Source organism: Homo sapiens, chromosome 21 (genome assembly GCF_000001405.40).
Source record: "Homo sapiens chromosome 21, GRCh38.p14 Primary Assembly".
NCBI classification, from domain to species: Eukaryota; Metazoa; Chordata; class Mammalia; order Primates; family Hominidae; genus Homo; species Homo sapiens.
Genome location: NC_000021.9, coordinates 30,877,136 through 30,894,682, shown reverse-complemented (window position 1 = coordinate 30,894,682; position 17,547 = coordinate 30,877,136). Strand labels below are relative to the sequence as shown.

Genomic DNA, 17,547 nt, shown 5'->3' with positions numbered 1-17,547 from the left:
GACACTTTCCTCTTTTCTCCCCAGCAATTCCAATTGTACCAGTGGTTCAGCGAGCGAGCTGCCTCTTTGTTGCCTTGGCTTCTGCTGACAATAGTGCTCTGAGAGCCTCATCCTCTATTCCGAAGAACTGACCAAAGTTCCTAAATAAGGCAGTTTGGAATGATTCTTTCATTAAGAAGAATCAGCTGCTGACTTTTGGGATAATAATGGTTCTACCGTGATATTAAGACACAATATAAGTCTTCAAAATTTTTTTTGCACTTGCTCTGGGCTGCTTTAGGCTCCCTCCCAATGGGTTCTACCAGTATTTCCTAAGGATATTTGTTTGCTCTCTACTGTCATTAGAATTACTTTAGACAAGTTTGGAACCCACCCATTCCCCACTCCCCTCCACCTGCGTGAAGTATTACCCACCACTTCAGGCATCCTCTTTCAGAACTGTGGGTCCTAAAGCATAGGCAGACCACCTTTATCCCTGCCACCATGGTGAGGAATGATAGCGTAGTGAGTTGATCTTGGCCATAGCTATAAAGGTTATGAAGAAATGAAATACATTTTAACTGTAGCTAGTACAAAATTTGGGGATTCATGTTAAAATCTTGAGCCCTATTCATGATCTAAAAGTATAAAGCTGTAATTGTTAACTATTACAGGTTGTTTGGATTCTATATTTTATTAATTGCATGCACTAAGAAGTTATATATGGTTAGGAATCTATGACAACTTTAAACAAATTGAAATTCTTATTTGGGAAAAATTGGGCCCCTACAAAGCCCTGTCTTAAATGAAAGAAAAAGGGGAGTGGAAGAACCATTATGTATCGAATGTCTACATGTCCCAGACATTACTTTATTAGGCCTCCCACAAAGTCTATGTAGGCCCCATTATTGTTTCCATTTATAGTTAGCAAAAAGGGGATTAGCAGTCTTATTGCTTTTCCCAAGGTTCTAGATGGCTAAGTGGTGGTGAGGCAGGACAGACAACCCCCAAACTGGGGCTTAGCTCAGGAGAGTTCTTGGCTTCTCCCAGGAAAGCAAGGGTGAGCCAGTGATGTTAAACAGCAACTTTTACTGAAGTGGCAAGTACCTCTGTACAAAAGCACAGGTACTGCTCCTTGTGGAGCAGGGCTACCTTATAGGCAGCATGCCCAGGGTAGCAGCTCAGAAGCAGCTGTGCACTCATATTTATACCCACTTTTAATTACATGCAAATAAGGAGTGGTTTATGCAGAAATTTCTAGGAAAATGGTGGTAACTGCTGACTGGTTGGGTCGTTGCCATAGAAAGGAGTGGTAACATCTGGGCGTTGCCATGACAATGGTAAACTGACATGATGTGCTGGTAGGTGTGTCTTATAATGAGATGCTTCCATGCTGGACCTGTTTTAGCTAGTCCTCAATTTGTTCTGGTGACCAAGCCCCACCTCTGATGTCCAAGCCTTGCTTTCAGAGTCGAACCCCAACTCTTAGCTCAGTTGAGCACACTTTTCATCTGTAATCTTCACAGTAAACTCTGAGATACCCTATACAGCCAATGTTTTTCATTTGCCTCATTTAAATTATGCAAATTATCTGGATAATTGGGTTTTCTGTAATAGAAATCTGGCAAGGCTGTTGTGAAACTTGAAATTTTAAGAATTTCTCCAGAAGAAGTCCCTTGGTTGCCCTAAGTCTATTGGCCATCCTTGGTTTAATTTTTTTTTTAATCATTGTGGTAATCACTTTTTTAAAAAACCATTCTTTTCTTCTTTTCATTCTTTATGTATTGCTAATTTCTAGTCCCATTATTTATATTATAGCCAAGACATTGGCATTCACCTTTGTATCACTGCAGCTATGGCACTCTCTTAATTGGAAGAGGGTGAATGTTAATCTTTTAAATTATTATTATGATATTTTCAGTGCCAAGAGTGCCCAAGAGGCTTTTAATACAGAAATACAACAAATGATAATAGGAGAAAATTTACTCCTTCCCTGTGCGGTTGTAATTTAAAGGTGAAAATAAGTACAATGCAGCTAAATGTGATTATTAATATCAAATATTATAACTTTACAAGCTATGAATACAGTTGTCTCCCCTTTTTCATGGTTTCCCTTTCTGTGGTTTTAGTTACCCTCAGGACAGTACAAGATATTTTGAGAGAGAGAGAGAGAGACATTCATATAACTTTTATTACAGTATATTGTTATAATGGTTCTATTTTATTATTGTTGTTGTTAATCACATACTATGCCTAATTTATAAATTAAACTTTATCATAAGTGTGTATATACAGGAAAAAACAGTATATGTAGGATCACTATCCATGATTTCAGACATCCACTGGGGATCTTGGAAGCTATCCCTTAGAATAAGGAGGTGGGGACTACTCAATGCCTTAGGAGCCTTCTCTTATGCTATTCGTAGAAAATTTAAAGTGCAGCATAGATGTCTCGCCATCACTTTGTACAATTTACAATTTAATTTTTTAGTGTCCTGTAGTAAGAAAAAACCTAATAAGGTTAACTCTTAACTTATCCCTAATACATGAAAATTATTGCTATAACTTTAAGAAGAGTTAGGTCAAAACCAGATTTGGGTAAGTGGCTGAAGACTGGGAAGATATTTCATTTATATTTCTCTTGGGCTCGATTCCAATGGGTAACTTGAAAGCAGAGAAACTCTCTTATTGCCAGATCTCAGAGCCAAGTATGTACCTCACATCTCCCTCAGTTTTACCTTTACCTGCATTTATCTGTGAATGACGTCTCTGGTTCCTAGAAAAAAAAAAGCAACTTGAATCAGCAATTGCCTGCCTTAGATTTGGAAATTCTATATAACATCATGCTGCTTTAATATCTTTTGGAAGCTTAGAATATTAATCTTTTCTGACTTTAAAATAATTGGGATGAAAACTGTTTGTAATGCTCAATGACAGTTTGCTTTCTTGTAGTGCCTTTTATGTGTGAATCACAAAGCCTTTTGCAAACCATAACTCAGTTCTTGCAGCTCCCTGGTGAGGCAGATCCCATTATCCCTGTTTTACAGATGATCATGAAATAGACCCATGGAGTCTCAATGAGGAGCCTCAGGTCATGCAATGAGTCAATGGGAAAGTTGGGGAAGGAACTTGTAGAACTTTTGACGTACTCCTTTAATTTGACGCCTTAAGAAGGATAAGGAATTCATAAATGAGGAAGATAAATGAAGAGCCATTGGAAGAGCTGTTTTGTAACAAGCAATAATTGTTCTGATAAATTTTAAATTTTGCCTTAGCTTTTAAGTTTGTATATAAATGAAGGTTTGTGGGACTACTGCTAGGATACTGTTTTATGGCTTCTAATATGTAATATATATAACTAAAGAGGAAGATATTTAAAATATGCAATAGTAGAAAGTGCAGTGGGATATGCAAGAAGTAATTTCAATGGACACAATGTACTATTTGGGTATGCAATAATGTGCAAACTTAAATGCTAAATTCAAAGGTCAATATACCAAATTATTTGCCATGATGAGTTGCCAGAAAAAAAATACACTGCAATTTTAGATGCATGTAAGCTAAGGCTCAATTTTTAAAATTTATCAGAACAACTATTGCTCATTACAAAACAGCTTTTCTGATGGCTCTCCGTTTATCTTCATTTATGCATTCCTCATTCTTCTTAAGGCATCAAATTCAAGGGGCATGTCAGAAAACCAGAAGCCACTTTTCATAGAGGTCATTTAGTCAGTTCAACCTCTGTTATACTGAAATCATTCAACTTAAAAGAGAATTCTATTTGCTAAAAGTACTTGGAGAAGGAGGATTTCATTAGATAATATGAGAAAATGGTCTTTTAGTGAAATGTGTACCTCTTATCTGTAGCAGATAAAATGGTTTGGTCATTGAGAGAGATGAGTCAGCTGTCCAGACTGAAGCTGGTGTCTACATTTTAATTGGAGGTGTGCAGTGACAACAGGATCAGGGTCTGTTCCTTCAATTGGCTGCTGAGGCTTTTAATTTTGTCAGTTCACCCAGGGTTAGCAGGTTCTGGAGGACTAAGTGAAGCTAGCCAAATTTTAAAGAGACCGATGTACAAGCCGGGGTGCAACTGTAACTCACATTGAAATCGGATTGGCATACTTATGCTAAGTACTGAGGGTGTTTTATTTCTAGTAGGTAAGGACAATTGAAAAACCAAGTTAATATCAGAATTCTATTGAAAAGTCTATTTCAAGGATTGGATGATCTGAATGGCGTGTCTGTCGTGTCTGAAAAAGATAAATTTGCCTAGTGAAGAGTAAGAGCATTTGTGGGGCCGATTGGATGCCCTGCAGCCCTCTACCTGTAGGCAAAGATAACATTACCCTTTATGTGTTTTCATTAGTTGGACAACAGGTTCTCTAACAAAAATTGTGCTTCTGCGTGGGTGTTGAGGTGTGGAAAACAATCTGGTTTGCAAACAATCCATTTGGAAGTCATCTCTTCAAAAGTTGATTATTTCGAATATGCCCACCACATTTCATTCACTTTATTGCTTTCTTTTTATATTGATTCTTATTAATTTTTATTACCATGCTTGTCTTCTGAATTACTACTCAAAATTCTGGGGATTACCATTACCCTTATATAATATATAATATAATTCTTCATACTGTAAATTAGTCATTCCTTTTAGTTCTTCCTAGTTATTTTTTAGTTTTCTTTCTTGAGCTTAATATTTTTTTACATTAGATATTTTTGTAGGAACCAAAAGTTACTGTGGAATTTATACTATGTCTTTCTTGGGAAGGAAAGAAGAGTTGGTGGCTGCGTTGATATAAGTAGGGAAAAAAGGATACTGAAGTTAAGAAGTGATGTGAAAGATGAGATTGGTTATCAGTCTCAGTTGATTAGTTTCCTGAAGGGTCGTTTTATCAACCTTTAGTTCTTTTGCCTTTTAGCTAAAGCAACTGCTGGCTTCAGGTTCACTTCATAGTTCAGTATCGATGATAACCGTGATCAGAAAAGCAAGGACTGAGCAATGCTTTACGATCAGTCTAAGATGACTGACCCTTTTCCTGGGCTGTGACCTTCTTTACCTGTGGCTCAGGAGCATGCAGGGAAAGACACATTGTCTTAAAACACAAAAGATGTTTGCATCCAGTTTGATCTTCACCCTAAATAATGGGAATTCAGTATCAGTCAGAGACGTCCTGAGGAAACCACCTTAGAATATACAATGGATACAGAAAATGGAAGGCTGAGTTGGGAACAATTCAGTGTTCTCAGCATTGCTACTGGTATTTTATTTTTCCGTTGTTAATTCCATCTTCATGGTCTTCAATCCACCACTAACTGCAAAACAATTTCATTTATGATATAAGACTATAAGACTGTGTCATCTTCAAAAAGCTGACCCGTCAAGACTGGTGAAGTTCCCATAGTCTGCAGTAGAGTCCCCAAGAGCTTCCATGTGCCTGACCTCTTCATCTGATATGGAAAACCCTGAATACACATGTTCTCCACAGGCTGTGGAGCTGCCAAGTGTTTAATTAAGAAATCAAGCCAGAATAAATGAAGACTCTGGAGTGGCTGAAGCTCCTTGAAAGCACCGAGGGTGCTGGTCATTAGCCTGATTCACTGCATCAAGCACATGGGCCTTAGGATGTTGAAGGCATCCATTGGTCTCTCTAATTCCTGTAAGAATCCGCATCACAGTGTTCCTTGATAAAGAGCTGTCTCTCTACTCTGAACATTTCCAATGATGTGAGACATAAAATTTCAATTTTTATGAGCATCACCTAAGCCCATCTCAGGGATTCCCAGTCCTGGTGTGCTGGCAATTTGGAGAATGATAGTAGTTTATTTTCATGGCCAAAACAATATTTTCAGCCTCTTGTCCTCTTCCAGAACTTTCCCACTTCCCATCAAGAAGTAGAGTCCATTTTACCTCCCCTTGGTATCTGGATGGGCTTTTGGGATGCCTTGTTATCTAGGGTATAGCAAAATTGATGTTCAATGACTTCCTAGGTCAGAAAAAGTGATATATTAATATATACTTATATATAAATATATATTTATATATTGATTATAAAGATATTCTATTAATATATAGATTATATATAAATATATTAACACAATACTACATGTTAATTATATTAATATATTTATATATCATATAAGCATATGATATATATTTATCATATATATGATATATATGTATCTTATATATGATATATATCATATACTTACATATTTATCATATAAGCATATATTAATATATTAATATATACCCTCTTGAGGTTCTCACTCTTGGAACCAGCCTCAGTGTTGGAGAAATCCTGGCCCATAAAGAGGCCATACATAGGTATTCCCACAGTGGCAAGTGTCAGCTGCCATAAATGTGAAGAAATGAAACTTCAGACAATCGCAGGCTCCCCATCCATCTGGAGCAGAGAGGAACTGCCCTGCTGCACTTTGTGTAAATTCCCAAGCCACAGAAGCCATGGACATCATAAATGGCTGTTTTATGCTACTAAGTTTTGGGGTGATTTGTTACAAAGTAATTGATAAACAGAAGAGGGAGCAGGGTACTTGGAGTGTGTGTGTGTGTGTGTGTGTGTGCGCGCGAATGTTGTGAATGGGGATTGTTAAATGATCATATTCTCTAAAATAAAGTGAATTTTGAAAAATTAAAAAACTAAACTACTTATTCAGTATCTATGAAACCATTGTATTAAATCATTTAAATATTTATTAAACACACTGCTGTGATTTTTATCTTGATAATTTTTGTCATTATTTTCATATCTTCACCATTGCAAATATTATTTTAGTTTAACTTTTATATTATATTAACTTTTATGTTTATTTATAGTAACTCACTTTAAAAAAACTTGCTTAAGCTTCATTTTATGTAATATCCTCAAAATTATGGCTTGGATAACCTAGCCCTATTTTATTAATACATTTAAAAATAAATGGATGACTAATTAAAACTATAAAGGAGTTGTCCATTTACTACCTAAAATTTTCTCCCATTTCACAGTAGGTGCATGTCTTACTTTGTTAAAAAGCATCTTTTCGTTTTGGAAAACAACAGTGACACGAAACTGACAATAATATTTGCCAAACTTTTGATGTTTTGGATGTTACTCTTAGGGACTGGCCTATGTTAAGGAACCAGCATAGTAGATCCACATTACTAGGAATACATGTGACAATCTACCAAGAATCTAGCTGCACTTCAAGACTTTTGTAGTTACTGATTTGGCCATTGCAGAAATGGCTTTAAACACCCAAATGTCACTTGCTGGATGCTCAGCTTGTGTACAAGTTTTTCTTGGGATTGCATGGACAGAGGCATGCATGTACCCTTAGGGGCCTAAGCTGGGAATTAGAAGGCCTGGTTATTATTTCTAATTCTTTCAAATAGCAAATATTTGGAATCTGGGTGTCTCAACCCAAGTTCCCTGAAAAGCAAAGCTTGAGACAGTTTTGGTGTTTTATTCCAGGGATTGCAGTGCAAGGGTAGTGAAATAGAAGAGTAGGGAAAGCAACCACAAGAAAGTGTTATCAAGTCAGCCACCATTGCAAGCAACTTGTGCGTGATCCCATGGGACTTCCTGAAGTGAGTTTCAGTACTGTATTAGTCCGTTTTCAGGCTGCTGATAAATACATACCTGAGATGGAGCAATTTATAAAGAAAAAAATGTTTAATGGACTCACAGTTCCACGTGGCTGTGGAGGCCTCACAATCATGGTGGAAGGCAAAAGCACATCTTACATGGCGGCAGACAAGAGAGAATGAGAACCAAGCAAAAGGGGTTTCCCTTTGTAAAACCATCAGATATTGTGAGACTTATTCACTACCATGAGAACAGTATAGGGGAAGCCGCCTCCATGATTCAATTATCTCCTATTGGGTGTCTCCCACAACACATGGGAATTACAGGAGCTACAATTGAAGATGAGATTTGGGTGGAGACATGACAAAACCATATCAAGTATTATCTACCTGGAGGACAAAAGTGGGGAGTTTTCATCCTTTGGTTTGCATTCTCTGTTGCCTACACTTGACCCCACTTCTGGGTGGTACATATGTGAGTGCAGAGAAAATTAACATGGACTTTCCTTGCCATGGCATCAGAGAAGACCTAGCAGGAAGCAAGGAGCACGTGAGTTGCCTCAAAGTGAAGGAAGCACTTTGGGACTGCACCATCATGAAACTGGCTTAAGTGTGTGCAAAGAGGCTACAGTAAGAAATGAAGTGAGACAGTTTCGAAGTAGTGCACAAGAATGTTCGATGTGCTTGGCAAAGATGCTCCCTGTTTCGGACTTGGCTTCTCATCAATCAGATAAGAGAATTGTATGAGAAGAATTTAAAATGCAGCACTGGAAGTCTAATTACCAACCTGAGATAGTGCTGGCCTAATGTTACACTCCTAATCCCCCAGACAGGCAGATCAGACCAAGAAGAACTATGTTGAAAGGGCATAAGCACAGGTCAATTAAGTCATGTTAAGAGAAGACCTATCCACTTTACCTGTCTCCTACATAGATTCCAGTATCCTTACCCCACAGAGTACCTAGTAGGCCCTGAACAATTCTGGATCAGGGAAGGATGATACATCTTGGGAGACTCGGTGCCTTCTCTCTTAGGCCCTGTACATAAACATTACTCATGTCTGGTTACAAATGGGTCTCCCTCTCTTTATTTGGAAGGCCAGGACTGGAGCCCATGCCAACGACACATGGGCTTTGCCACATGGGAGTTAGTTGTGCTGAAAAACACTTGGGATTCTACTCACCTTTCTTGACAGCACCCTGATTTTGATCTCCATTGAAGACACACATGAAAAACCACATGAATCTGAAAACAGGCATCAACAGAGAGAATGGTTCAATTTAGAATTTTTCAACCTTGACACTGTCCTCTGAGGGTTTATTTTTACACAAGTCATGTAGCTGGTGATTGCTATTTTCGGGTTCAAAAAGCAGCAACTATTTTGCTGGTCTTTGCTTGTTTCTTTCACCTTCTGCTTTCTGCCCTAGAGTTCCTTCCAGCCCAAATTATTCAACCCTTCTTATGATTGATGCTTTTTGAAAAGAGATTGGAAAATGAATTTCAGTTCCATTTTGTGGTGCAAATCACTGAGCCTCCAGGGCTTTATAATGTCTTGGTTAATAAAGATTCTGGAGATTCAACCCAGAGGTCCGTGGGAAGTTGGAAAGAAAGCAGAACAACTCAGCCAAGATGTATTTAATTTTTAAAACAACCATTAAGTTCTACACTTAAGCTTCTGAATTTCCTTTTTATATTTCTTAAGAGACAATGAATAGCTTCAATTTGAGAGGGTGATCATTCTGAAAAAGTGCAGAATGACAGCATTTCATTTCATATATATTAATTTTTCCACAAGTTCACTATTCCTCCATTCGATGAGGCTAAGTGGTTTTCTCTGAACTGGCGTTGGTCAACATTATTATCAAATTTGTGATGAAAAATATCCTTTCTGCCTATCAAACCTCCAGCCTCCCTCACATGCTTAGCTCATTTTACTCTCAAATGCTTGGCCTTGTAAATGATTGCTGTGATTCAGTTTTGAGTGAAAGAATTGCTCATTTCCAGCCTGTGATAATTATTGTATAAGGCTTAGATTGTTCTATACAAATGAGAGCAAATTATCCATCAGTGATGAAGATAATGGGTAGTAGTTCCTCGATCTCTCCTCATCTGCTCCTATTACCCATCCCCTCACTTCACGCTCTGCAGACATGAGAATAATAATCTTCACAAGACTTTTTGCTGAGTTGAAGTTTGAGGTTGTGCCTAACTACATAGTGACAGCAATTGGCCGTGTAATTTTTTCTTACATTCCAAGGAAAGGATGATTTATTAATTTCATTGAACAACATTGTCAAATTAAAATTGTGTAGAGTTTCATCAAGCTTATGTGACTGTCAGTACATGTTTCTTTACTTTTGCAACATACAGTGAATGCAGATAAAGAGTCAAAGTGCTTGCATGTGACAATAAAATGCATGAGAGTATCAAGTAGCTTGCCTACCTCTGTGTGGCATGGTGTATTTTCAGAGAATAGCAGAGAAGTGTATCGATTTTTCACGTTGGCAAGACCTTTATGAGAAATGTTATTCACAAACTCTGAAATCATTTTAATATAAGACTTCAGAAATAATCTGCTTGTAGTCACAATGTAAGCTGAAGTTTCTTTTAATAATTAATCTAAGGGATCTACTCAACATTTTCCCTCTATTTAGCACCTGAAAAATGGCAGACTCTGGAAAATGGATAAGACTGAAAAATCAATTCACTTATCTGCTACGCTCTGAAAATTTGTTGTGTGCACAGCTATTATACATAATTATAATTTCAAACTATAGCTTCAAGCTATTAATGTTTCTCTATTCTTTTTTGCTTTGTTTGTAGTGACCTTGTGTCTTATTCTAAGGATTAAAAATTGTTAAATTGGATACAGAATGAACAAAACATACGAAGTAGGACAGCAGTGCTTGTGACTTACTATTTTATTTATTTCCATTGTTAATCAATTGATGAACCTAGAAGAGAAATGATTATATCCTTTATAATGTCATCAATGAAGTATTGATTGATTGATTAAAAATAACAAATTCTTGTTCACACTTGAAGGAAGGCATCTCATCACATTTAAATATCCTCAGTGTGAGTTGGTAGTTCAGAGACTCTGTTTTAGTTGAATCTCAACTTAGTCAAATATAAACTGCATGACCTTGGCGAGCCACCCAGGGTCCCTGAACTTCAGCTCCAGTATGTGACATGATACCTACTCCACAGAGTTGTTGTAAGAACTCAGTGAGATGAGTTGTACAAACCTTTATTTTTTTAAATTTTATTTATTTTTTTGAGACGGAGTCTCTCTCTGTCACCCAGCCTGGAGTGCAGTGGCTCGATCTTGGCTCACTGCAAGCTCCGCCCCCGGGTTCATGCCATTCTTCTGCCTTAGCCTCCCGAGTAGCTGGGACTACAGGCGCCCACCACCTCGCCTGGCTAATTTTTTGTATTTTTAGTAGAGACGGGGTTTCACCATGTTAGCCAGGATGATCTCGATCTCCTGACCTCGTGATCTGCCTGCCTTTGCCTCCCAAAGTGCTAGGATTACAGGCGTGAGCCACCGTGCCCGGCTGAGTTGTACAAACCTTTAACTCAATGCCTGGAAGAGAGTTGTGTGCTTAAAAGACACTCATTTTCTTTTTTCCTGAAGTGATGGAAGATATTTTCTAGGATCCTTTTATCTGTAATTTCCAGCTTTCAATGGGAGAGACACATCAAGACAAGGTAATAACTTATACAATTGTCTGTCATTCCAGGAATGTGGCAGTAGGCACTGAAACGTTCTCCTTTGTAACTCTACTACTCACTTCAGATTTTGGGAATTGCCACAGTTAAGTACTCTTCCATAGTAGCCTGTGAACCTGTGGCTGGGAGAAGCCTGTAAACTAGTAATCCATTTTACAACATGCAAGCCAGGCCCTAGGGCCAAGGACTCAGGCCTTCAAACACCAACTAAGATACCCTCTGTGGTGGGAAGAGCATAGCCACAACATTGTGGAAAGTAGTCATCTCATTAATTTCACCCCGTTCCTGGGAACACATGGTGAGTCACTGAGGGAGGGTCAGGACATTGAGGTCTGATATCTGGGAATCATGCTATTGCTCACAGCACCCTCTTCTTTGGGTGTGTCGTTAGTTTCCAATTAGGGATTTCTGATGAGTCCTGACATAACGCTGTTTGCTTTGTGGATATTTAAAACATAGCTTACCTGTAGCCCTCAAATACATGGAAATCCATTTTATTCCCTTACGCTCCCTCATGTAAGCTAGTTTAAAAATGAGTCAGATGCTACAGCTGTTTTGGGACAGAAATACCACTGACCACTTGAAGCGATGTTGAAGTTGCTTATTTTGCCAGAGTTGAGGCAGTTTATTCATCTATGTTCAGGTGGACCCAAACGAGCCATCATTCTGGTGTTTAAAATTCATTATATTGTAGTGAGATGAAATAAAATAGAGTGATATCCCTATAGCTTCCCCAAGCATAAAAAGAATAATTAAATATAGCACACTCTTCACACATCTCTTCATTACCAAACATTGATTAAGTGCCTGCTTCCCCCAGCTCTGCCTCCCCCTTATCCCTGATGGAGACAATGACCTTGAAGAGCCTTTAGTTTGTCCATAATTAAAATGCATTCTATCTATATGTGTGAAAATAAATATCTTTTGAACATATTGAACAAATTGGGAGAAAGACACTGTACCCTTTCAAATTAACATTATGATAATTTTAAAAATTAACTAAGCCTTTTCCACTGGCATATTAATGAGACCCAGGAGTCACTATTATCCACTGTTATTAAATTAAACATTTTAGGAATAAAGCTCATCCAATTTACTTAGAAAAGGTCTTGGCTACAAATACAGTTGCACTTAGTTAGCTTCTAATTTGCTTTGTTGGTTGAACATAAAGGGTGGGTCCCACTGCCCTCTAGCCTTCCCACGGGCATCTTGTTTGAGTCAGTTGATTAATTTTGAGAGCCAGCTCAGACTTTGGATACAAGTCTCTGTGCCCTTTGTTCCTGTCAAGTGTTGTCACTGTTGTCTTGAAACATATTCAAGGAGGCACCTTCCCAATGAGGAGCTCCGTTAGGTGTGGTAGAGTGACTGATTAAGTTATGTTTAAAAGATATTAAGTCCAGTGACAAATGAAACAGGGCATGGGCTTGTAATTGGTCCTGGTAGGGAGGGAGAGAGTGTGTGATGGTAGGATGGTGGCATCTTTGGTAGGATGAGTGTCAGGTCAACACTCATCATAAGCAAGATGAATGAGGGACAACGTGTGGGCTGGGATGACCAATAGCTTTGAAGCTGCCAACCAGCCTTCTTAATCAGACTAAGTACAGTACAGAAGACTTGTGATTTAGTTACCAAACTACTAAACTTTCTTTATGAGGGTGAAGGCTTCTTAAGAGACAATTAATGTGTAGATTCACAAGATGTTCTAAGGCAAACTGGTCTGAGCCAAAGAAGCCACGGAGACCAGGGAGAGAGCCCCACCCACCAGCAAGGATATATAAAAGCTCAGGAGTCTGGAGTGACATTCACAACTCAGGAGGTAACTTCAGCAAGCTACCTGCAGCCCTCTGTCTGACATCATGTCCTTCAACTGCTCCACAAGAAATTGCTCTTCCAGGCCCATTGGAGGACGCTGCATTGTTCCAGTGGCCCAAGTTACCACGACTTCCACCACTGATGCTGACTGCCTGGGCGGCATCTGTTTGCCCAGTTCCTTCCAGACTGGCTCTTGGCTCCTGGACCACTGTCAAGAGACCTGCTGTGAGCCCACTGCTTGCCAGCCAACCTGTTACCGGCGAACTTCATGTGTCTCCAACCCTTGCCAGGTGACTTGCTCTCGACAAACTACCTGTATTTCCAACCCCTGCTCAACTACCTACAGCCGGCCGCTCACCTTTGTCTCTAGTGGATGTCAGCCCCTGGGAGGCATCTCCAGTGTCTGCCAACCAGTGGGCGGCATCTCTACTGTCTGCCAACCAGTGGGAGGAGTCTCTACTGTCTGCCAGCCAGCCTGTGGGGTCTCCAGGACGTATCAGCAGTCCTGCGTGTCCAGCTGCCGAAGAACCTGCTAAGTGTGTAGGAGCCAGTGAGCGAATCAAGACTCCACGACCTGCCAGCTGTTTCCAGGATCTTCCAGCATGCTGCTTGTCCCTGAATAGCTCTTCATAGCTGACCCTTCTTGTGACCGCCTGACTGCTGGCTACTATCCATGCACACGCTGTCTTTAGCACTCTAAAATTTTTCTGGCCAGCCCTAAGCTTGTTTTAAGGGTTGCTCACTGGTGCTGTGTATGCCTCTGGATGTGTCCAGAAGCTTTACCATCCACACCCCAGTCTCTGATGCTTTTGACATGTTTTCACCTTGCTGCTGTATCTCCTGGCCTCTGCTTTTGTGTCTCACAAAAACAGAGCTTGTCTCACCATGTATTTCTCAATAAACCTGCATTAGTTGGCATTGCAAATGTATGTCTCAGCAGAATTCTTTTTTAAACATTTCAACTTTTAATTTAGTTTTTGCGGGGTACATGTGCAGGTTTGCTACAGGGGTATACTGTGTGATGCTGAGGTTTGGGGTATGATTGAACCCATCTGTCAGGTATTGAACATAGTACCCAATAGGTAGTTTTCCAACCCTTTTCCTCTTCCTCACTCCCCGCTCTTCCAGTTGCCAGTGTCTATTGTTTTTATCTTTATGTCCACGTGTACCTAATGTTTAGCTCCTACTTATTAGTGAGAACAGGTGGTATTTAGTTTTCTCAACAGAGCTCCTTGTTTGCAAGAGTCTTTGCTGATCAGGGTCTGATTTTTTTTTTCCTGAGCCTAGAATATGGGCTTAATCATTATGCCCTGTGACCAAACCAAGGATTATCTTATATTTTACTTGTTCAGAGAGAGTCTTCAGCTGTGCGGTGAAGTAAGGGCTATGATTTTTCTTTTCTTTTCTTTCTTTCTTTTTCTTTTTCTTTTTTTTCTTTTTTTTGAGATGGAGTCTCACTCTGTCGCCCAGGCTGGAGTGCAGTGGCACGATCTTGGCTCACTGTAAACTCTGCCTACTGGGTTCAAGTGATTCTCCTGCCTCAGCCTCCAGAGTAGCTGGGATTACAGACGTTCACCACTACGCCCGGCTAATTTTTGTAGTTTTAGTAGAGACAGGTTTCACCACGTTGGCCAGGCTGGTTTTGAACTCCTGAGCTCAGGTGATCTGCCGCCTCGGCCTCCTAAAGTGCTGGGATTACAGGCCAGGGCTATGAGATTTCTAGGAGTAACTTGTCTTCTACGTCTCCTTCCATTTCTAGGGGCACATGGAATAACTTACATTTAGGAAAAAGAAAAGTTACCCAGAAAACCAGGTATTTCAGAAAGATGTGCAGGGAAGGGAGCAGTGGGATCACTGAGAAGTGCTGAGTCTTATTTAGTTAGAGGATCACAGTAGAAACCTTTGGAAAAGATTCCTCCATGATCAATCGGGATGGAAGGAGAAGGAGAAAGAAAGAGAAGGCACTTTTCAGGCCCTGAAATTAATCACATCAAAAGAGTGGCTCTAGCTTTATACCCACCTCACTCATGGTAGTGGATTAGTAGAATCTGCCAACGAGGGATACCAATTGACTGTTCGAGTCAGAGCCCTGAGAAAATTAAAGCTCTGTGTTTTAGTAAATCTGGGCAGGAGAGACTTAAAAAGAAGCTTAAAAACCTGTTGGCTTATATTAATACTTAGTCATACTTCTTGCTCGTTCTTCCCTGGAACTCGTGTACTAAATAAATCAAACCATCTGGATAGGTGGAGGTTGACATGCTAAGTCCTTTTGCCATTTTTTTTTTTTTTAAGGAAGTGAAGACTGGCTACCAACTGGTTTGCTTTTGCCCTTCTCATTTGTTCTGTCCAGAAAAACATCTTGATTTTCTTTTCAGAGTTGCTCAAGGAGATACAAAAGCAGATGATTTTTACACAAAATGGAGACATATGAGGTACACATGCCATCAACAATGGGTGTCTTTTTTCATAACAGAAATGCTGGTGTCTTGTGGAGAATTTGATCTCACTCTGTGTTGTCAGTGCAAAATGGATTTCTTATTTCTCTGATGGTTTTTCAGAGGTGAAATATATAGATTATTTCCATATAGATGCAATATTTTTAATTTTTCCCATTGATGGCTCTACTCTTAGGATTCCCCTAATTGGATTATGTTAGTATGCATGGCTCATGGTAATATCTCAACAAAGCAAGACATGGTTTTTAGTCTATATTAGTTTCATGCCCTCTCTTTTTAAAATAAGCACTCTGGCTTTTGGAAATGCTCTGATTTATTTTAAAATAGAAATCACTAGGGGAACTCTACATTGCCCTTTCAAAACTGTTATTACATGATTCTCATTTGTTGTTTATTTTAGTCACTTCACATATAATTTGGAAAATTCCCACTTTTTAAGAAGATGACAGATTAATTTTTTTTAACTTTCAGCTTTCTAGATTTCAATAAAAAATATAAAGACAGAGGTACCTTCTTTATCTTTTTATTTAGATGGTTACTTGGCTCTAATAGATAACATTTCTATATTAATAATATATAAGAACATAGCCTTTATGGTTAGATATGAGCAAGCTTTTGCCTGGGCTATTTATTGTGACAATGTGAACATTTAAGGCTGTGGTAGCTGTCTTGCAAAGCTATTTTCTTGCCTTCATTTCTGTTTTGGGAATCATCTTCTTTGCTATTAGAGCTATTCTATTTGTACTTGAACTTTGGAAGTTCTCTCCATTCTTTGCCTTATTACATAATAAATTGTAAAGTTTCAAAGTTTGTTTTTGAGAACAGTCCTTTAAAAGACAGGGCAGTGATGATTTCTTTCTCTTCATTTACAGCCTAGAAATGCAATTTGTATCCAATATCTCATAGCTCCAGGGAAGGAGCGTAACTTTTCCTGGTTCTGCCACTTGGATGCAGGTTTGTCGACGTTTCTGAGCCTTAGTTAGCTCATTTGTGTGTGAACCGGAGATAATGGTAGCATCTTACACCTTTGTTTTCAGGAGTAAATTGAGATAATACACATGTAACCCAAGTATCAGCTGAGCCATCCTGTCATTTAACATTGAAACAAAAATAGCTCTCTTATCTCCTTTTGCTGTTTGGTGGAAGTCTTGGCTGCTCCCAACATCTCCGAGGAATCTGAGAGTAGACAGGTTGGGGAAAGATGTCTAACTTTTTTCTTACCTTCTTGGGCTCTGAGCTTCTACTTGAGAAGAATTAGTTCATTTCATGAATTTTCTTCCTATGTTATGGTTGGCTTCTGTTTAGACTACCGTGATTCAGATATTTACACTTCCTTTCCATGATTTTCACTAAGATCCACTTACACAAGGCATTTGTGTTTCTAACACTTTATAGAAAGTTTGAGGACACAGAGAACATTTATACTCTAGTGATGATAACAACTTAAATCTAATTAAAATTTTTTTTATCATGGTAAAATATATATGTAGCATAAAAGTTGTCATTTTAAGTATTTTCAAGTGTACAATTCAGTGGCATTAAGTAAATTCACAATATCATGTCACTATTTCCAGAACTTTTCTCCATTCCAGACTGAAATCTCTTGGCCATTGTCTTCGGGACATTATCTCAATGTCCCAGCTCAAAATCAAATTTCTCCCTCTTTTTCTCCCTTCATTTCCTCCCTCCCTTCTTCCCTTCCTGCCACCTTCCCTCACCATCTCCTTTTGCTCTTTTCCCTCTTCATCTCCTTTCCTCCCTCTCTCCCTTCTGACTTTCTGTCAACAAACATTAGAATACCTCTAATGTTCCTGTTATCCCAGCACTTTGGGAGGCCAAGGCAGGTGGATCACGAAATCAGGAGATCGAGACCATCCTGGCCAACATAGTGAAACCCCGTCTCTACTAAAAATACAAAAAAATTAGCCAGGCGTGGTGGTGCTTGCCTGTAGTCCCAGCTACTCGAGAGGTTGAGGC

General features: G+C 39.1%; 1 protein-coding gene across 1 annotated transcript; it reads left to right on the top strand.

The window, feature by feature from the left end:
• The first annotated feature begins 13,102 nt into the window (after nt 1-13,102).
• On the top strand, nt 13,103-14,039 carry KRTAP11-1 (keratin associated protein 11-1). The gene has a single exon (NM_175858.3). The coding sequence runs from the start codon at nt 13,159-13,161 to the stop codon at nt 13,648-13,650; it is 492 nt and encodes a 163-aa protein (NP_787054.1). The 5' UTR covers nt 13,103-13,158; the 3' UTR covers nt 13,651-14,039.
• Nucleotides 14,040-17,547: the final 3,508 nt, after the last annotated feature.